Raw genomic sequence first — 26,559 nt, 5'->3', positions numbered from 1 at the left:
AAAGGATAAATCACAGACTGGGAGAAAATATTTGCAAAACCAGTGTCTGATATAGTACCTGTATCCAGAATATATGCAAACTTTTATAGCTCAATGAAAGAAAACAACTCATTTTTTAAAATAGGCAAAAGATTTAAATAATCAAAAAAGATAATAAGATATTAAGCATGTTTTGAAAAGATACTTAACAGCATTAGTTATCAGGGAAATGGAAATTAAAAGTTAAAACGAAATACCACTACACACTTATCAGAATGGTTAAGATTAAAATAACAAACCAAAACCCCCTGGTAATACCAAGTGCTGGAAAAATGCAGAGCAACAGGAATTCTCACTCATTGCTGGTAGGAATGCAAAATGGCACAGCCACTTTGGAAAACGGTGGCAGTTTCTTATAAAGTTGAATGTATACTTACCCTATGACACAGCCATTCCCCTCCTATATATTTACCCAAACGAAATGGAAACTTAGTTCCATACAACAACCTGGACATGAATGTTCACGGTAGCTTTATTCATAATCACCAAAAACTGGAGACAACCCACTTATTCATTACCCGGCGGTTGGATAAATTGTGGTGCGTCCGTGCAAGGGATATGGCTGAGCAATAAAAAGCATGGAACTATAGGCACTACGTAGATAACGTGGATGACTCTGAAAAGCGTTATGCCAGACACCAAAGGTGACATACTGTATCATGCCATTTCCGTGATATTTTGCAAAAGGCAAAACTGTAGGGACAGAAAAGAGATCAGTGGTTGCCTGGAGGGATGGGGACTGCAAAGGAGCCCGGGAAACTTTGGAAATAATGGAAATATTCAGGATCTCAACTGTAGTGGTGGCTACAGGACTGTATGCATTTGTCAAAATTCAAAGAACTACACACCTAATAAGGGAGATTTTGACGATATGCAAGTTACACCTCGATGAACCTGACTCTACATAATACCCTGCCCTCACGGGCAGCACCAGCTTTGCTAAGAGCCTCTGAGGGTCTCCTGCTCGCTGCATTTCTCCCACCGCCTCGGTTTTACATGTTTATTGAAGATATTTTAAGGTGCCCTGCAGAAGATATGCTTTTGTCCCTCTGTCAAGTGACAGCATCTTTACTTTTTCCTCGCTCTTCAACCTTTCAGATCCTACTTGGACATGGTGAAAGTTGTTGTTTTTTGGTATCATTTTGGATGTGTGCTCTGGCTGTTTTTTCTTGTGGGAATGACATGGATCAACACCTCAGGGGCTGGGTACCTGGTGGCCTTTGGATACCTCATGCTGCATGGAGGCCACCTCCTCTTGAAGCCCGTGAAGTTCATTCTCCAGCCACTGGACTGCCTGATTGCCTGCTCGGTGCTGGTGGTTGCTGTGAAGACTCTCCTTTCGGTATGGGAGGCTTTCTTTCAAGACTGCTCTTTGTTTTCCTAGCCTGACTGTCTTAATACCCCAAGAAAAGGCACTGCCAAAACCAACAGTCATCTTAAAAGGCCTTTTTCAAAGCCATGTTTACCAAAGGTGGAAAATGTAAAATGATCCCCCATATGTCATGCATGATGCAGCCTGGGCTTTTTGGAGCAGCTTTTGATGTTGAAGAGCTCTACATTTAAAGGAAATCAAGAGGTAAAAAAAAGAGGAACCCCAATAGAAAGAATGTTTTATAAACTCACTAGTAACCTAGAGACGATCCCCTGATGAATCTGGTGTTCATTCGTGGTAACAGAATGTACCATATATTTCAAAGAGCAGTCATATTAAAATAATGCAGAGAAAAGTTGATTAATCTAACAGTTTGAAGAATGGAGAACTCATGAGTCTGAAACCTGGAAGGGGCCTCAAGAGATTATTTGGTTCTTCCTTCTCCCCGACTCCCTACTGCCATCTTGGGTTGGTAAAACTCAAAATTTCACATGGTAGATGAAGACAGAGAAATAAGAGACCAGCCCAGTGCTGTCAGCTGGCCTGCAAGCCACTGACCCATCTCCAGACCCCCAGTGCTTGTTTTTACTGTTTAATCTGCTGTGCCCCATGCATGAACTTCCAACTTGGCTGTTCGTTAAACTCCACTCAGCATAATGCAGTCATTTTTTGGACAACTCAAAGCCGCAGATCATTATTCAGAATCTTGGTCCTCATTGGCTTCCGAGTGATTGCCTGTCGGATAAACTAGCTTTTATTGTAATGGTGACATTCGTGTTACCAATTCATCATATCTCATCTCCCTGGGTGGAGCTACCACAGTGTCCTCTAGTGTAATACATCTTAGGACTTCATCCTCCTAATGGCCAGTAAGTCTTTCTTGACGAAAAACACAGACCATGAGAGGGAAGGAGGCTTCAGAGATGATGTAGTGACTTTGCAGATGACAGCATGGAGGATGAGAGAAAGGCAAGGGCTTGGTCTTGGCCCCATGGTTGTGTGTGGCTGCTCAATTTCCTGTGCTCAGTCCTTAGCAACATAGAAGATTCTTCTATGGCTTCCTGGTTAAATCCACTTTAGGTTCCTGGGGAAGAGTATAATTGGATCTCTTTGGCTGCCCAACCAAATGGTACTCTACTGAGTGACTAGTACCCTTGAGGAGACAACTAAAGAGACAAATGAAAGATGACACTGGTTGGGCGCAGTGTCTCACGCCTGTAGTCCCAGCACTTTGGGAGGCAGAGGCGGGCAGATCATCTGAGGTCAGGAGTTCACGACCAGCCTGATCAACATGGTGAAACCCCGTATCTACTAAAAATACAAAAATTAGCTGGGCATGGTGGTGTGCACCTGTAATCCCACCTACTTGGGAGGCTGAGGCAGGAGGTACCCTTGAACCCGGGAGGCGGAGGTTGCAGTGAGCCGAGATTGTGCTGTTGCACTCCAGCCTGGGCAATAAGAGCGAGACTCCATTTAAAAAAAAAAAAAAAAAGATGACACCAGTTGTGGAGGGCAAACTGTGGGGGCACTGCAGATGAAGGCAATGGTGAGTCCTCCCCACACTTCTCCTCTGTGGCCAGTCACTATGCGTGAGTACCTAGAGGTTTTACTTGTCTCCCACTGCTGGCTTGTTTACAGTTTGGGCTTAAACTGCACAGTGAAGGGGATCAGTTCTGGGTAAGCACCCAGAATGTTTGCCAGCACAGTGCAGGCATGACCCCAGGGACAGTTGGCATGGAGCAAAGTTGAAAGCATAGTACAGTGATCACCCGCATACCCACCCCTAGATTAACAGCTGTTTATTTAGCCACCTTTGCTTTATCTATATTTGTGTGTGTGCACGTGCGTCTGTGTGCATGAGTATTTTTGAGATATCTCTGAAAACAAAGAGGCAGACATCAAGCCATTCTCCTATATACCCACCACATTATCAGTCCACCCTAAGAAGATGACTCTAATTCCCTGATATCTTCTAATACCCGGTCTGCGTTCCAGTGCCTCCAGTTGCTCCAAATGGTTGATTGCAGCTCTTACTATTTTTAGAATCAGAGTCCAATCAAAGCTCACGTGCTGCATTTGACTGTTTTGCCAGACTGTCCTCTGAAGAGCCACTGAGAAAAGCCCTGGTGGGACCTGGAGGATGTCCATTCTCTCCGGGGAAAACTCAGGGACCAAACCCTGGAGGACGTCCATTCCCTCCAGGGGAAACTCAGGGACCAAACCGAGAGGAAAAGAGGGGATGGAACATCCAAGGCTCTGCCTCAACACCACATGTCAGGTCAAGGGCAGTGGCGCCCTGCAGTCAGCGGCTTCTAGGCTTTGGGGATAATCCCACTGTGTGCCACGGGTGCTTCTGTGGAGTTTGCTAAACTTCAACCCCACCACTAATGACCGGGATTCTGGCCTGTTTAGAGAGGGAGGAGCCCTGAGTTCTGCCCGACTAGAGCTGTAACTGGCTTCCTTTTATGAATGAAGGAAAAGGGGAAATGTATTTATTTTCACTCTTGTCTCTGAGTGACATCTTGGGTTAGGCTCTCATTCTCTTTCTTTTAGTTTGTCAAGAAAATATGTGAAGACACAGCTCTCATCTTTCACAGACAAGTCTGGGGCTTAGCGCTGGGCCACGGGGAGTAGGTTTCCATGCACCACATTGAGCTGCTGAAATGGAAGAATCTACAGTGCCACAAGTTACCTGTCCCACCCTGTCAATCAGCCGCCTGTTTACCCCAAAGGGAAGGCCACGCAGTGGCTTTCAGCAGGACTCACCTCAGGGAACCTGGTACGGGGGTGGGCTCAGGCTCCAGGGAGGGGCCGGTGCTGATGGGGGAGCAGGGAGGACTGGGTACATTTCCCCAGCTCTGACCTTATCTGCTTGTTTCCCTAGAAAATCAGCCATTTGGGCGGAAAGGGGAGAGGGAAGATGAGCAAAGGACAGAACAGTCCAAAAGGAAGTGAAGCAGGGTCTGTCCAAACTGGAACTGACCCCTTCCATCCAGAGACGCGACCCATGCTAGGCTCTGGCCTGGGGTTCTTGGCTTCTCCTGTCTTCCATGCAGCTATCCCTGAGGACAAAATCCATGAACCCGAAGAGAAGGAAGAGGGAGTCCTTTGGGAGGCTAAGTGTTTCACTGTTCTGCAAGTCCAGCGACAGAGCTTCCTGAGTTATTCCCACCTGTATGTGGTCGCCAATCCGGAGGCCACCAAAGCCTCAGCGTACAGGCACCAGGAGACCTAGGGACAAAGACCTCAGATTTCAGGGGCTCCAAGAGTGTCCTGTCCCAAAGGGAACAGGCATAAACAGGCGGCTGATTGACAGGGTGGGACAGGCTTCTCTCCTCATTTGAATGACTGCATGACCGGCTTGCCTGACAGCCCCTTCTAGTGACTAATTCCTCATCTGATACTAAACTGATCATCCAACAGCCCTGGGCTGTTCTCTTTAATTGATGGAAGCAACTCCCTAGAGTTGGACCTCATGCTGCATTTTAACCCTGCACCAAAGGGAAGGGACAGATTCAATTTCAAGGGAATGATGCTGGACTGCAATGACAACTTAGAAAGCTCAGAAACCTCAGACCACCTGATCCCATCCCTCCTCTGGACAGAGGAAGAGCTGAGGCTCAAAACGAGTCACCCGCCTGGGGCTGCTCTGCTGGCTCGGGGCAGAAGAGGGCTGACTGCCATCCCTCCTCACAGAGCCCTTCCACCACACACAGCTTTGTCCTGAGTTTGGGACTCAGTTCTGGTTGCCCCTTTGTGGGACTCTAATTGTGTAGGACCGTGAGACCTGGGGCCACACTGAGTTGTAAACACAGTGGAAGGGTGCAGGCAAAGACCTGTGGGGAAGTGGCATTGACCCAATGGCAGTGAGGAACCAAGGGCAGCTCAGAGTCAAGGGTGAACCTGGCCAAGTTCCTCAGAATCTGCAGGTCAACCAACCCTGCCCGAGATCCAAGGGATCACCTCTCTATGCAATCTCCACCCCCATCCCAGCTCAGGCTTCTCTCCTCATTTGAATGTCTGCAAGACTGGCTTGCCTGATAGCCCCTTCTGGTGACAAATTCCTCATCTGATACTAAACTGATCATCCAACAGCCCTGGGCAGTTCTCTTTAATTGATGGTATCTGCTCCCTAGAGTTGGACCTCATGTTGCATTTTAACCCTGCACCAAAGGGAAGGGACAAGTTCAATTTCAATGGAATTATGCCATCCATTTCAGCAATTCAGACCATATTCCTGAATTCAGATATGCCACTGATCAAATTGTGTGCCCTCAAACTCAACAGCTTCTCACCCTAAGATCCTGCCTAAGCACGTCCAGTTTTCAGGCTGGTTGTAAACTTGCGGAGTCTGTTGAGTGTTCTGTCCTCCATCTGTTGAGCAAAACCTGGTCATTATGCTCTGGAGGTTCATGCTCTTTGGGGAGAAAAGAAGAAAAGGATGGATATCTGTGAGCAGCCAGCTAGACCTGTCTTGTTATGTGAAATGATCGATACAATTCATCTTAGTGCAAAAATTGGTAGTGACTTTTTACTAGCAGAATTCACACAAAAATGTTACCTAGGCTAAGATGACTTTTCAAAACGTATTTTATTGTACAAACAGGAGTGCTAAGCTATTGAAGCAGAGACCCTAAGTCAGGCATTGGAGCACTATGAAGATAAGAAAAATCCCCACTGATTGTCATGAAACAGTCAAGCTGGCTTTTCTTTGTTTTTATCCTGGAAGCATATTCCTTCCAAAGGATCTGCCACCTTCTTCTTGCCTGTTTCTTTCTTTGATATAGGGTTCCCCCTTTCTCTTATTTTTGAGTTTCACCAAGAGGAGGAGTCTACAATAAGACTGAGGATGTTCCAGGGTTGGGAGTGTGGAGCACTAATGAGCTCTAAATGTGGGTCAATCAGCGGATGGAGGTGGCGAAATTGTGGGCTGATTCTTCTAGCTCGGAGAACAAAGGCAGAGCTCTTGAGTGTGATGAGAACATGGGCTTCTCCTGGGAGGAACCATCTCCTGATGTAATTCTTAGATGAGGAAGTGATGCTTAAGCTCTTGACAGCTCAGATGCTCTGCTTTAGGCCACATGCCTTCCTGGGTCTGAGTCTGTCCCTTGCTAAAATGGGCTACCCAAAACCCTACTTAGTCAAGACCATGCTCTGTCTCTCAATGTGCTATGAGGCACACATCCCAGATGCTTCCCAGGAAGGCTTTAGTGGGTATACAGAGAAACGTAGTTTTCGCTTAATGGTTACACTAAAAAACGCAATTCAGGCCTGGCGCGGTGGCTCACGCCTGGAATCCCAGCACTTTGGGAGGCCGAGGTGGGCGGATCACAAAGTCAGGAGTTCGGGACCAGCCTGACTAACATGGTGAAACCCCGTCTCTACTAAAAATACAAAAATTAGCTGGGCTTGGTGGCACGCACCTGCAATTCTAGCTACTCAGGAGGCTGAGGCAGGAGAATTGCTTGAACTTGGGAGGTGGAGGTTGCAGTGAGCTGAGATCGCACCACTGCACTCCAGCCTGGGCAACAGAGTGAGGCTCTGTCCCCCCAAAAAATAAATAAATAAAAAATAAATAAAAAGCGCAATTTAGCGGGAAGTATCTAGACTATCCAGTAGGTGATTTCAAGGATATTATAGCTCAGAATGAAACTAAGTTTAAAATTGAATTGACTGAAAATCAACTATGGAAATCAAATAATACTGGAGAAATTATGGCATGCATAATGACTGAAATTGATGAAGTGCTATTTGGTTGCCTGCTCAAGTCTGAATTCCCAAACTGTCTGAGCCTGCCAAGACCTCCCCAGCCCCAGACCCTCATCTGCACTGTGGTCACCTGACATTGGCAAACTCCATCTGTATAGTAACTCCTGTCCCATCTTCTCAGCCAGAGAGGGGTCAGCTGTCCCCCATGGCTGTCACCATTGAGTCCTCTGCGGCACCTAGAGCAGAATCCTGTCCATGTTGCTACGTGAGCTGTTAGCTGTTGGGGACTGAGTGTTGATGAGGCCCCTCTGAACTAAGGGAAACTTGGGAGCATAACTTTGGGCATCTCTTCCTCAGCCTCGGTTTTAGGGAAAAAGGCAAGCACTGAAACCAACAAAATGGCAAAGGCGTTTTGACTGGTGGAGAAGAAAATGGCTTTCTCTGTTTGTCTTCAATTGCCAGGATGGAGAAAATCAAAGCAAAGCAAAAGAAAATTGCTGCTTTGCAGAGAGCCTGCAGGAGTTCTGACGATTTGGCCGTTAGCACGAGCTACCTGCCCAGAAAGGAAGCTGAGAGAAGGGCCTTCATAAAAGGTGAGATGCTGTTACCATGGGATCATGGAGGTGACCTGCTCCCAGTGGTCTTGAAACAGGGACACTAAACTGATCCCTCTGCTACACTGGGAGCCAACAAGAAAATGAATTTCTCCCCTCAGAACTGTGGTATAATGGAAGTGCCTTTTTGTCTGGCGCATTTAAAGAGCTTAGATTTGGAATCGTGCTTTGAGTTGAAATTCTGAATTCAATCCAAAGTTGCAGGAAGGACCTTCCCCCAGCAGCAAAATAAAATCCCCCTGGTCAAGAAGTGTTCTTTTTGATTGGACCCTGGTTTGGGGGAAATGGTTAGGTTATTTATTTTAAATGACATTTCTGCCCTTCAGTTTTGAGATTTTCAGAAAGCATGACTCCCCCAAAGGGCCAAGTGGCTCAAGAAGAAGGATGTTTCAGTTTTTGTTGTTTTCAAAATAAATATCTTTCTAAAATTGTTCCTTTTAAAGCGGACTAGGTTTTCTCTTTCCTTAGTTGAACAAGTTGAAGAAAATCATGTCATCACTTGGCTCTCAACCACTCTGATGATTCTGTTTTACCTGGCAATTTATGTGAAGGGTGTGATACATAGTTTAACCTTCCTAATTGGGGGACGCACTGTCTGAATTAGTGACAAGACTGAATTATGGTGCTTTTAAGAAAAGATATTCCATTTTAGTACTATCAAGTTCACAAAACCATTAGAACTGGTCTTCCAAAGCAATGCTCAGTGGTGCCTCTGTGGGGAATCTTCTCAAAACAGAAAAAAAAAAGGGCTTATTAGCCTGAACACTCTCAAAATCAGCATATTATTTTAGGTTGTTTATGCATTTCCTTTTCAAATTTTATTTGCACTAATTAATTTGCCCAAACAAACCATTTTGTAAGGTTGGATGAGGGCAGGGGGAGTTCATAAACACTCAAGGAGCTGGTTCTGGTTTCTTCAGAAGCTGAGTAAATTTTAGCCCAGCCTCTTTTTTGAATGACCCCAACCTGGTCCAGGGTGGTGATGGCTGATAGATTTCAGGTTTTGTCTCTGTCTACATGATCTCACCATGATAGAAAATGAAGACGAGATAAAATGGTGTCAGCCTTGGGTGACACATCCTTCTGGTAAGTGGGCCATAAGGGGGGCCTCTACTCAGCTACTCAGCTGCCAGGAGCACAGCCCTTCAGAAGTCCAAGTATGGGAGCCAGTTGGGCCCACTGGCTCTTCTCAGTTCCAGGGTTCCCCAAGATCAGCCCATTCTTCAGAAAATGTCTGCCACCTTACACAGTGGGGACTGCAGCAAGGAAGCAAGCAGTGGCTCATGCTTGGCGTGCAAGTCCACAAAGACCATTAGAAGCAAAAGCTTCTCCCCGCTTTAAATATATATCCTACTAGTTCTTTCCCTCTAGAGAACCGTGACTAATACAGATTTTGGTTCTGGGAGTGGTTCTAGAGGAACAGAATATTAAGGATAGAGTTCTTTCATTGGTTTTGAGGTTTCTGGAGTTGGCTGCTTAATATGATTAGACCCAAAAATGCTAAGGACTCTACTTCTAATAGTATGGAGAACACTGACAGTCCTTGGCATGAACTGTTTAGAGAATTATGCAAAATAAATGCATTTAACACCCCTGATTGACCGCTCCTCATTGTCAAGGAGTTTAGTGACTCTATACATAATACCTTTGACCATATGTGGAGAACCAAGCTGGTTGGTTGCTCTTAAGTCCAGTGGACAAAGTGATGAAAGAAAATGATGAACTCAGGGATTCTGTCTCCCAGCTTCAGCAGCGGATCCTGAGCCTTGAATCTGCGAAGATTGCCCTGAGTGAGAGTCTTATTTCCTATAGAGAAAGAGCTGAAATTGTGGAAAAACAGACACAAGCTCTTACTATGCGAGTGGCTGACCCGCAAAGAAAAGTGGATGCACAGCCTCGCCAGGTGTCTACTGTTAAAGTGAGGGCATTGATTGGAAAAGAACAGAACCCTGCAACTTGGAATGGGGACATGTGGGAGGACCCTGATGAAGCTGAGAACACTGAGTTTGTAAACTCTGATGAACCTTTTTTGCCAGAAGAAATAGCTTCCCCATTCCCAGTACCAAAATCTTTATTAGTCAGGATCCTGTGGAGGGACAGAACTGATAGGAGATATATATATGAGTTTATATATATATATACGAGTTTATATATTTATATGAGTGTATATGTGTGTGTATATATATTATATATAATATATATAGGGGAGTTTATTAAATATTAATTTACATGATTACAAGATCCCACAATAGGCTGTCTGCAAGCTTGAGGAGCAAGGAGAGCCAGTCCAAATCTCAAAACTGAAGAACTCGGAGTCTGATGTTTGAGGGCAGGAAGCATCTAGCACAGGAGAAAGATGTAGGCTGGGAGCCTAGGCCAGTCCCTCCTTTTCACATTTTTCTGCCTGCTTTCTATTCGGTGGCACCTGATTAGATGGTGCCCACCCAATTAAGTTTGGGTCTGCCTTTCCCAGCCCTCTGACTCAAATGTTAATCTCCTTTGGCAACACCCTCACAGACACACCCAGGATCAATACTTTATATCCTTCAATCCAATCAAGTTGACACTCAGTATTAACCATAACACAGGTCAACCAATTTTCTTGGCATAAATCGCTCCCATTGTCATGGACACATGTAAAACCCAAAGGTGTGGAAACAGAAGTGCTTATCTGGAGATGTTAATCAACCTTTTTGGGGTATTTCAGGCAAAAAGATAAGCATTTCCAGGGGCAGTTCATTCCTCGTCCTCACTATGCATGTGTGAGTGTGTGCGGGTTGCATTCTTATTATTTAGGTTTTTTTCTTAAGTGTGCATTTTAGTTGAAAGTATGCAGAAAAATAGTGAAGTAAGGGAAAAGAACCTCGTATGTTATTACTCTTTGCTCCTTAAGGGATCGGTTTTTCAAAGAAATTATTTTTATTTTTGGCAAAGCCACAACTGCTTAAAACAGACAGGAAGAGGAAGGCTGTCACCCCGTCTTAGGCCCTTCTACCAAACAGCACTGACTTTTCCGGGAATAAGGAGAGATCATCCAGCGAAATTCTGTTTGGGGTTGACTTTGATGTTCCGATGCCTAGATGCAACTTTAAACATCTTTTAAATTCACAAACCAGTCCTAAGAGCCTTTTCTCTTCTGAAGGGAAATTACTTGGAACAAATATGACATCGATTTTCCATCTCCCTTGCTTAGTCTCATTTGGTCTGATTTTTATTATTTAAGGCTTACCGACAACGAGAATATACAGTTAGCAATGGTTCTAATTAGATTTTGTGACCTTTAAGAAAGAAAAGGAGGGTCTGGGCCCGACAACGTCTGAAACTGCCAGAGAACAGGGCAGGGATTTATGAGCGTCTCCTGCGGCTCGCATATGACGCTTGGACAAATAGCTCCACGTTTGCTCTCGGGAGGAGGCGGCAGGACCCAGGTGGGATGGGGAGAAGCGTGTGAGAGGAAGAGGGAGAACCGTGGCGTTGCTGTGGAGGTACTGCGACGGCAAAGCGGGGTTTGTGTGGTCACTTTGATCGACAGATGGTCGAATAAGGAACACTGGCGTCCAACAGTCCTGCCTTTTGACTGGGCCCATTAACACCAAGTGGACTGTGCAGGAGAGATGAGGTCATGAGGCCTATGGGAAGCATAGGGACTCTTTTATACGCTCTGATGGGGAGGGGGCATCATGAAGGTGATCCCCGTGGCTGGGGCAATAGGATATTTGCTGAAGGGGCAGCTTGTTAGTCTGAGATGTTGGGGGAAATATGCATTTTTCCGAGCCTGTTTTCCATAACGGCTTGGGCTTTGGAACGCACTGACCGACAGAGAGCGAGATAAATATGTGGTCTGTCGAGTGTCCAATCTTTCCTAAGTGAGGCGTTCACTGGAGTGCAGCCCTGGACCCTGACAAATACTAAATAGGAGCCAATACAAATTTGAAAGGCTTTCTTCCTTACACCGGCCTGCTTTTCCTAGCGTCTGGAATGAAGATCAGGTGACTGAACATTCATGCCTGTAGTGTACTCGCAGCCCCCAAAGAACTGCGCAAGGTTATTACGTTTAAGGTGGGCCATAACTTCCCCAACCCCATCAACATGCCTGCCTTAGACACACACTCACCCCTACTAGGATGTAACGAACATTTACAAAAATGTGTGTCGAAAGCAGACGGGAATTTCCGATGGATGCCTATTTTATTCTTCTTTGGTGTGATTTGGGAGGTGAGAAGCTGGTGATGCGCGTGACCGCAGCTGAGGCTGAGAATTCAGATGAACCTGGTATGTACGGAGGCTCTACCATATCCAACACAGGAGAAAACCTACCAGGGAAAAAAAAAAAATGTGACCAGGTCAGTGCAGACACTCCGGCAAGCTTGGGCAGGGATGCAAATGGGTAGAGGCAGCTCACAGATGTAAACACAAAATAGAACCAAGCTCTAAATAAGACGCTGCCAGACTTTCCAATGGCGTTTACACTTTCTGCCACGTTTCCGAGGTGAAGCAGGAGAGACGTGGCTCTCTATGGGACCCTGTGGCTTCAGCCCTTTTTGATGTGACATAGAATCTTCGTTTCTGGGGGAAGGTAGAGTTTAGGGGCTAGAGTGGCCCCTGGCCCACAAATGCTTTCTACACTTGGAAGCTCATGAGAAAGAACGCTGACTGGGCTGTCTCCCTGGGGTTGAGAGGCGCGTGTTCACACCCGGTTGTAGGAACCAGTCCATGGCCAGTGTTCATCAGGGCTTACTGGGCAAGCCAGGCATGAATCTGACACCCCTTAACACTGATTCCCAGTTAAAGATAGTGATCGGGAGGTCACACAACTTGCTCAAGGGCCCTCAGCAGGAAAGTGCTGGAGCCAGGATGTGAACTGTGACAGCACCTCAGACCCCCCCCCCCTCCCCCACAACCCCAGATTCCTCCTCCCCGTTTGCTGGGCAGCTCTTCCAGGATTCCCTCCGTCCGTGATTTCAAATGACCTTTCTTCCTGAGCAAGTTGGTCTGGGATCAGCTCCTACTTCCACCCCAGTAGCTGATGTGATCTTGGGTGAGTTAGTTAAACTCTCTGGATCTCAGTTCTCCATCGGCGAAGAAGGATAATGAAAGGACCTAACGGAGAGAATTGCTCCAAGATAAAACCACAGTGGGCGTAGTGCATAATAAGTGCTTAATAAACATCAGCTATTTATAATGCAAACCTTACCCCACCAACCTCTCCCCCTACAGGAGGGGTGGAGGCTGGGTAGGGGGCTCAGAGACGAAAAGGGTCTCTTCTCCCCACTCCACCCCTGGAACCCATCTTCTTCATCCACAGTTCCTACCTTGGACAGGAACCCGTTGAGTCCAGGGAAATCCTCCTAGCAGGGCCCCCATAGCAGCGCCTCAATACTTATCTGGTGTGCTGGTTGGATTTTTGTTGGTTTTGGCTCTGTGTGGCAAGTTAACAGAAAGAAACAGTGATGGTGTTGGTGGCATTTCATCAGCTGTCTCTCGGATCACTGTGGCCAGCTTTCTGTCGCCGACGGTGGAAAGCTGATGAGCCATTAAGTCACCTCGTCAGAGGGTTCTTGCTCTTTCCCCAAAGAAGGCACAGCCCAGAGGCTCCTTGCCATGGCCTGGTTCTCCTGGGTGTTCAGGAAGGTCACCGAGGCCTGGGGTGCACCAAGCAGAGACAGCAGCCGTTTGTGGTGGCCCGGAGGGCGGAGCAACGTGTGTGGCGGTGAGCTGTCAGTAAGGCAAGCTTGGCCATGGCAGGGACGGCTTTCTCTTACGATATCAATTTCTTTTAATTATTCCATTCCGACAACTTTGAAAGTCACTTTGTAAGCTGACAGATGATTTATGTCTTGCATTAGCTCCTGGCAATGGCTGCTGAAGGCCTTGACTGCTCCCACCCTCCCTCCTGGCCACACACCCGGCATGTTCCCAGTGAAGCCCGCAGAGAGTCACTGTGCTCAGCCACCTGTGTCCAGAGTTCCCGGGGAGGTCTTTGGGATGACAGCAGGAGATCCCCTTGGTGATCCTAGGTGGCCACTTGAGATGCAAATTGCAAACAATTGCGTGTGGTCAGTTCCCTGTAATGGAAGTAGAACCCCCGCTGATTTTTCCCTTCCTTCTCTCCTTGTCCTTCTTTGCTTCCCTCCTTTTTCTTTTTCTTACTATAATAAAGATCAGACATTTCTCTCCAGGGAAGGAAGGCCACTAGACAGAGCATTCTGAGATACCGCCATGCCCCATTGCAAGAGACCGCACGAGCAGCCCCAGCCAACAGGGAAAAGGGATAGGAGCCGCAGCCGGGCAGCAGAGGGTTACCCAAGTCCTGAGAGCAGTGGCCAGAAGATACCCAACTGGCTGAGGAAAGAGGAGAAGCCATGGCTGTAAAGATCCACGCAGAAACACGCACAACTTCAGCCTGGACACCCCCCAAGAAGGAGGTGGATGACAGGTTGCCCTCCTCAATGGTGATAGCGCACCGTCCTCAGCCCCAAAAAGGCTCCCTGCCCCGGAACAACCCCACGTGAAAAGGGCACCCCCTGAAAACTCAGTCTCTCTGAAGGTCAAGACTGCATTTTGTGGGCCAAGGACATTTATAGAGCTATAAAAGGAATCATTTTTGCTAATGCTATGAAATTATACTCCGAGTTGAATAACAACGGCCCACGGCAGGTACAGAAGTAATTTCCTCTTGTGCGAAATCTGGCTTTTAGAGAAGTCAGAGGCGGCCCCAGTTGAAGTTGACAGGGCCCCTTTTCCTGTGCAATTTAAGTGACCAAATGGGAACTGTGACTTTGTAAATGTGTCCCTCTAATAAAGTCCCCTGGGAGGGGTAAATGATGCAGGCCTCATGAAGACATGTAATAGGAGTGCCAGGGCGGGAGGGAGACCTGGCGAGAAATTCTAGGAGGCCTCGTCCTGGGCCCATCCATAAATTCAAATGTGGCTGCATTCTTGAGCATGGGTAGGCCCTGTCCTTGTCACCGCGGGGTGGGAACAAGGATGACAGGACCCTTGGGATGACAGCCTGGTGCCCATGGTATGCTGAGGAGACGGATGCAGGAGGGGCTGCTCCCATCAGAGTGGTAACAAGGGCTTGTTTCCAGCTCTTTCCATCTGCCAGACATGCTCCTGAGTGGCTTTGTGTGGATAAACTTCCTTAACCACCTCAGTAACCCTGTGAGGAGGGTAGTAAGATTATCCCCGTTTGGACACAAGAGGAAATGGAGGGCTGAGATTACCCCGCTGCCATATTCCCAGGCCTGGGTATCCCTGTGGGTGTGGACGTCCGCTTGCTGTGGACACAGTCGTGAGTAGCCATGGCAGCTACCTCTGCCTGTCCACTGGCACCCCTGCAGACTGGAGGGTCTCAGTGCCACTCAGATACGCTTTTGCTGGGACCTGGGCGTCACCTTTGCTGTTCCCATGCTGTCAATCCAAACCTGAGCCCCTCCCCACTCTCCCCGACCCCACCCGCTCTTCCATCCCAGCAGGAATAGAAGCTACAGAGGAACATGAATGTTCCCGAATCCTCTTCCCCAGGCCTGCCATCTTGACCCTTTCCCCTGTCTCCCATGAGCAGTGGATTCTCACCTCGAGGCCGGGTCCCCTTCCCCTGGTCCGGGGCCTCCCTCATTCCTGCTCTGCTCCCCTGAGTGCTGCTGCTGTGTTGATTCTGTTTTCCAGCCCTGCTCTTCCATTCCTTCCTGTGACCCAGCAGGCTGGGGTCTTCACAGGCCTCAGCGAGTCACACGCTTACCCCATGCCTCACCACCAAACTTCTTCAAAGGGTCGAAGGGCAGCTGAAGCCTTATGCTTAATTTCCACACCAGCCTTTCCCTATTTGGTCTAGCACAGACTGATAATGAGACCACTCTGCCTACCAGGGGTGAGCCCGTGCCCATCTCCTTGCAAATTCCTTCTATTTGGTCTCTTTGCCGAGGCTCCCACCACCTTCCTGGATCTCGGTGCCCTGGATTCTGGACGCCACTTTCTCTTGGTTCTTCCTCTGCATGTGTCCTAAGCATCAGGCCAGCATTTCCACCTGCTCAGGAGCTCTCTCTCACCCTGCAAGACCCAGGCACATGACTTCCTCTCGCCCCTGGAACCGGCTCCCTCTGTGCTCTGTGGTCTTTGCCCATCAACAGCCTTATTCCAAATCTCATAGAAAGTCTTCACCAGCCATGTGGTTCCTGGTGTGGAATCCCAGGTGATGTCGTTACTTTCTTTTTTTTCCCTTACCCACCATGTCCAGGGGATGCTGCATGCTGGGGACTATTTTGGGAAAGTCTCTGGGTTTCAGGCCTGTGCCCACTGTGGCCCTGAGTCAGAGTATTGTTGTCGCTTCTCGGATCTCTCAGTGACTCTCCACTGGCTCCAGCCTCTCCTCAACCCAATTCGCTCTTTAAATTGGCCCCGATTCTTCCCATACCTGCCCTTAACTCTTAGCTGTCCTACCTCTGGAAGAATGAAATCAGGTCACGAAGGATGAGAACACCTCAGCCCAGCCAATGAGGTCCTTTGTGATCTGATGGGCTTTCCATTCCCCAAGCCCCATGCTCTTTGAATTGCACAAGATACAAAGTGTGCCGAGGATGTCCATTCACCAGGCTTCTCTAGTGGGAGGGTGAATTAGTCCATTTTCATGCTGCTGATAAAGACATACCCAAGACTGGGCAATTTACAAAAGAAAGAGGTTTAATGGACTTACTGTTCCTCATGGCTGGGGAAGCCTCATGTTGGAAAGCAAGGAGGAGCAAGTCCCATCTTACATGGATGGCGACAGGCAAAGAGAGTGAGCTTGTGTAGGGGAACTCCTCTTTAAAAAACCATCAGGTCTCATGAGACTTATTCACTGTCATGAGAACAGCACAAGAAAGACCGGCCCCCATGATTCAATTACCTCCCACTGGGTCCCTCCCATGACCTGTGGGAGTTGTGGGAGTTACAATTCTAGATGAGATTTGGGTGGCCACACAGCCAAACCATATCAGAATGGTTTCCCCTCATCCTCCAAGACCTACCCCAGCCTCATCTCCAGGAAGCCTCTCAACTTCCATGCCACCTTAGACGTGACTCTGCCCCAGGTACTGTGCCCTGGGTCCTGCCTTTCACTGGGGCTTCTGTGCCTTCCCTGACCTGTGAGCCCTGTGAGGAAAGAGGGTGTGGGAACCCTCTTTGTGTCTCTGCAGTCTAGTTCAAGGTCTAGAACGCAGCAGATTTTTGGTGTTTGCTGGTAGACTTGTGAAATCAATGCAGTCTTCATTGATCATGCAAGAATAAATCTCAGACCATCCCAAGTGATTGTGAATTCCAGATGGGAAGAGTCTGGAATCAAAATTCATGAGGTCTTTTAAAAAACATGTAGAACGCCCTTTGATGCAAATGTAATCAGTTGGTCATTGAAGGTTTTAAAAAATGATGTCTTAACGGTCTAGGGAGGTCAGAGAGATGGTAATGCACAGTTGGTGTGGGCCAGCCAGGAGGGGCAAAGGCATAAGCAGGGAGAGGAGAAGGACCCTGCCCCAGGAAGGATGCCTGGATGGGTAGCTTCCCTTGCAGACAGTGGGCTGGTAAGTCCAAGTGGTCCCTTGACAGCCACCGCATCCCACCTGTTATACCTCACCTATTCGGAGAGTCAAAAAGACCAGCAGCTCCAGCAGAAAAGCGCCCTTCAAGAAGTTGCCAGCTAGTGATCTGTGCCTTAAAAGGCAAGGAGTATCTGTAACCCAGGTTAGGCACCAGCATGTTTTTCTTATTCAATCCAGCCGCCCAAATAGTTGTACTTGGATTAGCAAGTTAAGCTAAATGGGGTTATGCTATATACTCTCCAATACAAAGCAAATGGTTCTTTGAATTTGATTACTTGTTTGAAAATACTTTACTCAATAGAGAAATTGTGAGCAATTGAGCTTTTTTTTTTTTCTTTTTCAAATGACATATTTTTTTAAAATGCCTCTAGGGCGTGCCTGTTAAATGGAAAACCTTGTGGCTGAGTGCTCCAGGAAAGTAAAAAATTGCTCCCTGTGTAGAGTTTGAAAAAAATCTAGGATTATTTTTACCTATTGGTATTTCTTGTCTGGGGCTGTAGGCCTGTCTTTCTGGGACTCACGGCAGGGTCACTTCGTCCCCCAGCATGTCCCGGGATGAGGAGCTGAGCAGCCGGACAGGGTTCATGGGAGCCTGCCACGCCTGGTGAAGCTGGCCTTCGCCTTGCTCCAGATGGCCGTGTCCAAGTCTGAGATGCTCTGCTATTTGGTGATCATTCTGAATCACGCACTCTTGGCTTCCATCCTCTTGATGTTCTCGCCATCTTATCTTTCCTGTGGGCAATGCTTTCAGTCCCAAGGCTCTTAAAGCAATTTTGGATGGCAGCGATCTATTACATGGAGGTAGGTACCAAGGGGAGACCCCTCCAGGACCCAGCTCCTGCCAGTGGATTATGGCAGCAGATGAGACACTCCACCCACCACCATCCCAGCCACCCACACCCTTTGAGGTGACTTTATACAACAACACTGCCACATGTCAGGTGCTAGAATCAAAACACCTGACTTGGTGGAACCAGAGAATGCAACTCCTACTGTTCTCATTGTCTCCCAAGAGTGCGTCAGCTTTCACAAGTCAGGTGAAGTGATAACAAGTACTTCCACCTGCCTCACACGTAGCAAATACTTATACAGTGGACTTTGGGAATGCATGCTTCTGTTTTTATCTTTTTTTTTTCTTTTTGCATCTTGGACATAATTTACCACTAGCTCTGGTGCTCTTTCTGACTCCAATGCCACATTTGCAAACTTGAAGACAGCCTGTCTACGAAATTAATTAGAGCAAGAGTTAAGTACCAGTCATTGGGTTCTTTCTCCCACCACATCATTTTTATAAGCCTGTCAGCATGAACTATGGTTCCTCTCCTGTCACTGCCCCTCCCCTCCCAAGAGCTGTGGTTGGGGAGGGAGGGAGGGAAGCCGCCTAGATCTGTGTCCCCTCCTTCAGAATCACTGAAGACTCCTAGGGGAAGAGGCAGCTGGCCAGAGTCCATTCTGGTTCCTTTTAAACTCTGATATCCCAGGACTGTACGAGCTAGAAAGAAAGATTTGTGGGTTTTTTTGTTTGTTTGTTTGGTTTGGTTTTTCTAAAAAAAACAGTAAACATCATTATAAAGAAAATTTTAATCCACTGGAAAAATGCACTTTTAAAAGTCCTTGTTACATTTTTTTGTGTACAAGTAGATCCTCCCAAGTATAAATGAAACAGATTGGTTTTGACTGACTGCTTATAGAGCTGAGTCCAATAAAATTTGATGCCCCTTAAACTATTCCTCTAATTTGACCTTCTGTTAATACCATCTCACATTTGGATGGCTTGATCTGGGAGGGTCTACACAACTTTCCATCCCCCTTCATATCCTTCAATCCCTAGGGGCCTCCAGAGAGGCCAGGCCCTGCAAAGGGAGGGAACATGGGCCGGGAATGACATGCCTGAGTCATTGACAAGGGCCCACATCTCCTGCCTCCATGTTCATTGACATTTCCTCTACCAGGAAAGGGAAATACCCTTTGGCCTGCATGTGGCTTCTTCCATCAGGTGCTCATGGCAGACATCCCTAATCTACCCAGGCCCTCTTCCCCATGGTGCCTGGTGACATCCTAAGGGTCATTCCCAACTCCTACAGAGTCCGAGTTATTTCTCAGGGTAAGACTCGCCTGTTCTTGCCTCAAGCCTTTGAAGCTCCAGCTTTCATCTGCAGAGCATGGTTCTCCATGACGTGCCACGTTTGGGGTGCTTTAGAGAAAACCACACACGCCAGTGTCTGAACTTGTCCCTGCCAATTGAGTTATTTGGAGTCATGAAGTCATGCTGGGATTCCAAAGGTATAGACCTTGTGGCTTCTCCATGTGTAGCACTCGTACTTAGAGGGCTGGCTCTCCTTCTCAGTTCCAATTGACTAGTAAAAATAGGTTTTTAAAGAGAGTTAGAGAAGGTCAAATTGGAGAGTGCCTTAAAGATCATCTAGACCAACCCCCTAAATTTTACAGACAAGGAAACCAAAAGGGCATTGGTCCAAGGCAGAATTGGAGATGAGAGCCCACTCCTGAACCCTCTTCTGCATCACACAGGGAGATTCCCCATCAGCCAGTTCCATCCTGGCTGCCAGGATTACTTTTGACAGATGTGGGGGATACTGCCCACTCCCCAGGACCGGAGGCATCTTTCTGCGCCTACTCCTCCGTTATCTCCCTGTGTGAACCAGCTTCCACACAGGAGCATCAACAGCCAGCCCCCAAGGGGGTCCCCACGAGTCGTGAGGCTATTTATCTGACAGAAGAACTTGTACTATAAGAGCTGGTGAAACAGAAGCAGTTCTCTGTCCTGGGGTGGCGCCCAAAAATAGCATTAAAGAAACTGTCTAACATGACGCATCCGGTCATTCACTTTCTTGGCTCAGAAAACTGCTCTCCCTGATGTCTGATAATCTATCAGTGTTCAAAGGATGGGGACTTTGGGTGACCTTTTCCTCTTGCCAAAGGAAACAAAGCCATTTTTGAGCATTTTCAGCATAAAAAGACAATCTCTTAAAACCACTATTCCTCGACTCGCCGATGAGAAGGGGTAGGCTGGGAGAGCCATCTTCACCTGCCTGCCATGTATCAAATTGATTTAGCAGGCAACAAATGTCAGGAGAAATTAAAAAGGGAGTAATAGCTCAAAGAAATTAAAAAGGCTGGCCAGCCTTCAGCAGTGTCACATGGGGCCAGCTTATGTATTCACGGTGGTTTCTGGTGTTTTATTTCCTTTTAATCTCTAGCCTCTGATGATGACCAGAACAGTCTCTTACATTTGTGACGCACGTTAGCATACACTGAGCGCTTCCTAGGCATTCACTTGCTTTATGGGTGTGTGCGCGCATGTGTGTGCGTGTTCATCAGACCGTTTGCAACGGCTTTCCCTCTCTGTTTCTCCTGCCTTTCTGGAGGCCACTGTCGTGGTCAAATAATTTTGCAGTTTGGATTCTTTCCCTGGACCACAAAATGATACACTGGCATCAGTGGGGAAAAGCCACTTTCCCTGCCAAATATAATTGGAATGGAGAAGAAGGACAGCTGTGTCCTCTGCGATCTCCTGCAGTTACTTGTGCTGTTCACCCACCGCTCTACCAGGAAGGGACGCCAGCCCCAGAGCAGGGGGGTTGTGAAAGCTCATTCCATTTCCTAGGAGGCATCCTTTGCTCATTTCTTATTTCTGATGAAAGTGAGAGGGGATTGGCCAAGGCCATAGTAACTGCCTCCGTTTTCCAGATGTGGAAACTGAGACTCCCTGTGGCTGCTAGAGCCTCTTCCTTGGCCAGGGATGTCACAACAGCAGAGACTGACAATGGAATTTTGACGTCCTGGTTCTGCCTCCAGTGGTACTTGCCCTGCCTTCTGTTTGAGCGTGCTTTCTTTTCAGTGAAATTTAAATCATTTGGTTTCGGACTTTCTTGTTCCCTGGCTAACCTCCCTGGAGTTCTGAGCCATGGCTGCAGTCCTTCCTCAGCAGTGAGCCCCACTGTGTGCCGGCTCCCTCGCCTCTCACCACAACTTCAGGGAGCCCCCAAGTTGTCTTCTCATGCTCCTGCTCTTGTCCCACTCTGCAGAAACCTGTCCCCATCACCTTGCCTGTCCTTCCCTAGAAACCTTTCTTTTTCATCTTCCTGCCAGGGATTTATTTTATACTCCTTTGCCTCTCTCCTGCTTTCTCCCTGCCTTCAGGAAGCCACACCCACCCTCTCTCCTGTGCTTCCCCTCCTGCTCTCTGCAGAGACTCCAGCACCTTCTCCAGTCCCCATATCCTCCATCTGGTTTGCTGGCCGAGTGTGAGTTTGGGGAGGCTGTGTGGCCATGGTGGTGGGTGGAAACTCCTCAGCCCCCTCCTCCCTGCCTGCCTTGCCTCTCTAGGGCTTGGGACCTGTTCATTGCAAGGGGAAGAAAAAGGGCAGAAAGCAATAAAAAGCAGCCAAGGGGCTCCAGGCTGTGGCCACCTCATGAGACAGGCTGAGCAGAACCCCTACTCCTAGGAGCTGCCTTTGCAACTGCCAGCCCACCGCTGGGTGTGCTGAAGAGTATTGCAGAGTAGATTATACCCTACTTGGTCTGGACCCCAGGCCCCTGAGGAGGAGCCCCCCATAGTCTCAAACCAGCTGCAGAATCTGGCAAAGTGTGGGCCATTGGGGTTCCCAAGTGATGGGACTGGGAGAAGGTCTGCTGGTCATTGTTCCCAGGCCCACTACATACTTCCTCCTCACCCCAGACCTCCCTGCTGCTCCCCACCCCACCAGGCTTTCTCCTGTCTGGCCTGGGGCTCCAGACCTGGCCCCTTGGGATCAGGGGACACGACAGAGCAAACCCCCAGCCTGAGCTCAGACACTGGTGGAAAGCACGTGGGGCTGGTCATGGGGATGGGAATCAGTGGAGGAGATGGGCAGAGTGCTCCCAACTAAAATAGCTTCTGGGAGAAAAGGTCAAGGAGGAGACCTGTATTATTGTGTCTTGCCAGGGGGTCCCCAAGACCCAGAATCCAAGAAGAGATGGAGCCTACTCAGGAAATTCCCATTCAGCCAAAAGCAACTCAGCCAAGGGATGCTGAAGAAACAGCTGGAGAAAGCCAGGAAGCAGGTCATTAAAAAGTAATTAGGAGACTTCATTAGAAGGAATGGGAGAGGAAGGCTGTGAGGTGGGTGCCTTTCCCCCTTCCTCACAGACCAACTCTTAGCTGCAGGTAGAGCTGGCATGGATAAGGAGGGCCGCATGGTTAATGTGGGATTATGTGCCCCTGGATCCACACATGGTGGGGCCTAGAGCTGGGCCTTGGGAGGAACACTCATGCAGGAGTCAGATCCTAGACTTGGATCTGCCACTTCTAAGAGCACACATCCTTGCCCTCTCCCTGGTCTGTCTGTAGAACTGCAGGAGATTATTTATTCATCCATGCTTTTGCCCAAGCATTTGTCAATTCATACTTTGGTCTTTCCTTTTATCTGCCAGTCCAATCACTCATCCACCTAACTAACAATCTTTGCACCTACCCAACCAACCCTCTTTCCATTTTTTATCTTTCCTTTTTTCCTTGTGTTCAGTCATCATCTCTTGATCTAACTATGCTTCCTTCCTTATTTCCATCCATCCCTTTATCTACTCATTCACCCGTGCACTCATCCATCCCCCCACCCATCCTTCAACCCACCCATCCATCTACCCACCCATCCATATACCCATACATTCACTACCCCATCCTTCCATTCCACCTACCTATCCACCCATCCATCCACTCACCCATCCACCCATCCATTCACCCACCTACCCACTCATCCATCCACACATCTACCCATCTATTTACCCACCCATTTATCCATGCACCTACCTACCCACCCATCAAACCACCTACTCATCCATCCACCTACCTACCATCTACCTACACATCCACCTACCCACCATCTACCTACACATCCACCTACCCGCCCATCCATCCACCCACCCATCCACCCACTCATCCATCCACCCATCCATGCATCTACCCACCCATCCATCTACCCATCCATTCATGGCCTACCTTTCCATCCACCTACCTACCCACCCATTCATCCACTTGTCCATCCATTCACCCACATACCCATCTGTTTACCCACTCATCTATCCATCCACCTACCTACCTGCCCATCAAACCACCTACCCATCCATCCACTCACCCATCCACTCATCCATTCACCCACCCATCCCTCCACCCTCCTCCATGTATCCACCCACCCATCCACTCCCTATTCACCCAATCTACCCACCTCCCTACCTGCCCATCCTCTTTGCCCAGCTGTGGAGATAATCACACATGCCCATTGCACTTTCTTATTCCCAAGGTGGCTTCACATTGACTCCAACGTTTCCCCTCAATGCCCCCCCATGACATAGTCAGGCTAGGGCTCACCACTGCCATTCAGTGGTGAGAAACCTGAGGCTTAGAAACAGAGCAACTTGCTTAATGTCACACAGTGGAGACATAAACCTGGTACCTGTTCTTCCCCAGCTGCACTGGACTAACCCTGCAGCGTCTGTGTTTGGGTTAGTGCTGTGCAACAGCACTCATGGTAGGAGGAATTCAGGTGTTGTGAGAAAGAAGCCCGGCATTCCCCTGAAGATCGGTCCCTGAACACCAGAGTACTTGCCTTCAGTGCTCTTCGCAAATACAAGCTTGGGAAAAATAAACACATGTGCCATCCTCAGCTTCCCCATCTGTCAAACCACGGAGTCCTCTATGGCATCCTCCTAGAACCTTCCAGCTGGTTGTGAGGAATTGTCCAAATTGGGGGTGGCCCACAGCATCCTCCTCTGCCTTCAGGACCTTCCAGGTCTACCACCCCATCTGCCAATTCTTCCACAACTTCACCCACCTGCAGGCCAGCTGGAGGTTAAGTCCTCACGTTCCTGGTGGACGTGTTCAACTTTGCCCTCATCCTCTTTGGGTACTGACTAGGCCTTCACGGTAAGCAAACGAGCCCCGGGCCTATGCAGCTCCCCCCAGACTGTCGAGCTCAGCACTTTGGTTTCCTGGGAATCACTGCCCAGGACTCTGGATTCATGGAATTTCCTTCTGCAATTTCCTTCTGTTGTTGGGGGCAGGGGCAGCCATTAGTTATCCTTAATAACCAGGCAGACGACAGGATAGCATTGCCCTCAGCTTTCTTAAAAGCAGAGAGTGGTCACTCTCTCTCTTTAGAATAGCAATTCCACCGACTCCATTACCGAAATGGCTCTTGCCTTCTGTGCCCCGTCCAAGTTGCTATGTTGTTGTTTTATTGCTTCTCTGAAAAGCTCCTACTAATTAAGGGGAAAGCTGGATACAAATCAGGCTGGGGCTGCAGTGCAAAGGACAGGCCCTGTGCTAAGCTGGCTACAGGGGCTTCTCAGGGGCCCTGCAGCTGCTGCCTCCTCCCTGTCCAGGGCTCCTCGTCTCCTTGAGAAGTCATTAAAGACTCTGGGAACCTGAGATATTTGCCAGCCAGGATGGGGCTGGAAAGAGAGACCAGACTGCCTCACAATGCCCTCAGCTCCAGTCTGTGCTCAGTGGCTGGAGATGGGATGCAGTGACCGTGGGGACAGCCAGGGTTCCCTCCAGCTCTGGATTTCAAGGAGCATGTCTTGTTCTGTGTCTCAGGGCTCACAGAAGTGTCAAAGGCATCTGGACCCCTCAAGAGACTGAGAATGCCACTGAAGAGACAGGACATACATCTACTAACAGCAGACCACAGTCCAAGCCAGAGTCCATCAGGGTCTCTGGGTCCTGAGGCCTGTGCCAAATGGGTGACTGCTCTGCTTGGGGATGGGAGGGAAAGTCTGGAGGGTTTTCTGGAGTCAGGAGACATTGGAACAGGCCTTGGAGACCAAGTCAAAGGACAGGAAGAGAGAGAGAGAGAGAGAGAGACAGAGAGAGAGACAGAAACAGAGTGAGAAAAAAGATATATATATATATATGAATATATATACACACACACACACACACACACACGCGTATATACATAGAGACAGAGGCAGAGAGAGACAGAAAGAAACAGACAGATACACAGAGAGAAAAAAGAAATACACACATATAGAGACAGAGACAGAGAAACAGAAACAGAGAAAAAAATATATATATATACATATATATACATATACACAGAAAGAGACAGACATAGAGAAAGACAGAGAGAAACAGAGACAGATACAGAGAGAGAAAAAAGATATATATATATATATATATACACACACACATATATAGAGAGAGACAGAGGCAGAAAGAGAGAGAGAGAGAGACAGAAAGAGACAGAAACAAGAGAGAGAAAAGAGGGGCCCTCTGTTCCTGGACGGTGTCCTGCTCTTTCTCTGCCTGGGCCAGCAGTCCTGAGAGCAGCTCCTTCCACCCTTCTGCTGCAGAGCTGGTTCTGTCTCATCCTCTGTGCCATCCTTCAGGTCTTGGCATAAAGGCTTTCCCCAAACCCCCAAGCTGACGTACCCGGCCACTGCCTGGTGACTTCCTTTGCAACACTTACCACGATCATACCTGGCTCCCTGCAGGTCATCAGTGTCATCCTACTCCAATGTTCTGTCTTCCTTCTTCACCCACATATCCTGAATACTTAGCACATGGCCTGCTGGAGAATGTGATTATTTGTGGAAAGGGTGGTGAACAGATGGGATCGCTGTGGTGGCTGGGGCCTGAGGTGGATGGGGATGGGATAAATAGGGTATATCGGGTTTTGAAGGCATTGGGGTGGAGTGGAACATGATGGGATGGATGAGGTGATGGATGGGTTGGGTGACAGGATGGGGAGACATGACATGGCATGGACAGATTGGATGGACCAGTGTCCCCTGGTGACCTCCTGGTGGTCCTCTGTGCTCCAGGTTCTGCCTTGAGCCTTTCCTCTTGGAGCCGAGAGCTGTCATAGACTGGGTATGGATGGACACTGCTCTCAGCCTCTCTAACTGGATCCATCTGGGGAACCTGTGTGCAAAGGTCTTCATCATGAAGCACTGGTGGGAGTCTGAGAAGGTGGGTGCGGGTGGGTGGCGTGGGGGTGGCAATTTTCCTTGCCTCAGTCCTGTCCCTACAGCAGTGAGACTCATGTCTTGCCCAGTGTGCCAGGTGCTTACCTGGCAGCTTGACCCTGGCTCCCAGGGCTCATGGAGTTTGTAGTGAATCCTCAGTAAAATGGCAGAGCCCATGTTGAATTCTCCCCACCATCACTTGGGAGTGCTCAAAACCACCTGGCAAAGCAGGCATCCTTTCATTCCCATTTTATGGAGGAGGAGACTGAAGCTTAGAGCGGCT

At 48.3% G+C, this 26,559-nt stretch overlaps 1 pseudogene, besides 4 other annotated features; it reads left to right on the top strand.

Moving 5' to 3' along the window:
* Positions 1,136-26,280, top strand: PIEZO1P2 (piezo type mechanosensitive ion channel component 1 pseudogene 2; annotated as a pseudogene).
* Positions 12,903-13,566: an enhancer, noted in NCBI's record as "OCT4-NANOG-H3K4me1 hESC enhancer chr20:57328959-57329622 (GRCh37/hg19 assembly coordinates)". NCBI's record gives its function as "activates a minimal SCP1, AML or CMV promoter by ChIP-STARR-seq in primed H9 embryonic stem cells {active_cell/tissue: H9 hESC(primed)}" and the evidence as "EXISTENCE:reporter gene assay evidence [ECO:0000049][PMID:30033119]".
* Positions 13,567-14,232: an enhancer, noted in NCBI's record as "OCT4-NANOG-H3K4me1 hESC enhancer chr20:57328293-57328958 (GRCh37/hg19 assembly coordinates)". NCBI's record gives its function as "activates a minimal SCP1, AML or CMV promoter by ChIP-STARR-seq in naive and primed H9 embryonic stem cells {active_cell/tissue: H9 hESC(naive and primed)}" and the evidence as "EXISTENCE:reporter gene assay evidence [ECO:0000049][PMID:30033119]".
* Positions 14,233-14,896: an enhancer, noted in NCBI's record as "H3K4me1 hESC enhancer chr20:57327629-57328292 (GRCh37/hg19 assembly coordinates)". NCBI's record gives its function as "activates a minimal SCP1, AML or CMV promoter by ChIP-STARR-seq in naive H9 embryonic stem cells {active_cell/tissue: H9 hESC(naive)}" and the evidence as "EXISTENCE:reporter gene assay evidence [ECO:0000049][PMID:30033119]".
* Positions 21,345-21,844: an enhancer, noted in NCBI's record as "H3K4me1 hESC enhancer chr20:57320681-57321180 (GRCh37/hg19 assembly coordinates)". NCBI's record gives its function as "activates a minimal SCP1, AML or CMV promoter by ChIP-STARR-seq in primed H9 embryonic stem cells {active_cell/tissue: H9 hESC(primed)}" and the evidence as "EXISTENCE:reporter gene assay evidence [ECO:0000049][PMID:30033119]".

This window comes from Homo sapiens, chromosome 20, assembly GCF_000001405.40.
Source record: "Homo sapiens chromosome 20, GRCh38.p14 Primary Assembly".
Classification (NCBI taxonomy): Eukaryota; Metazoa; Chordata; class Mammalia; order Primates; family Hominidae; genus Homo; species Homo sapiens.
This window is presented reverse-complemented; position numbering and strand designations above follow the sequence as displayed.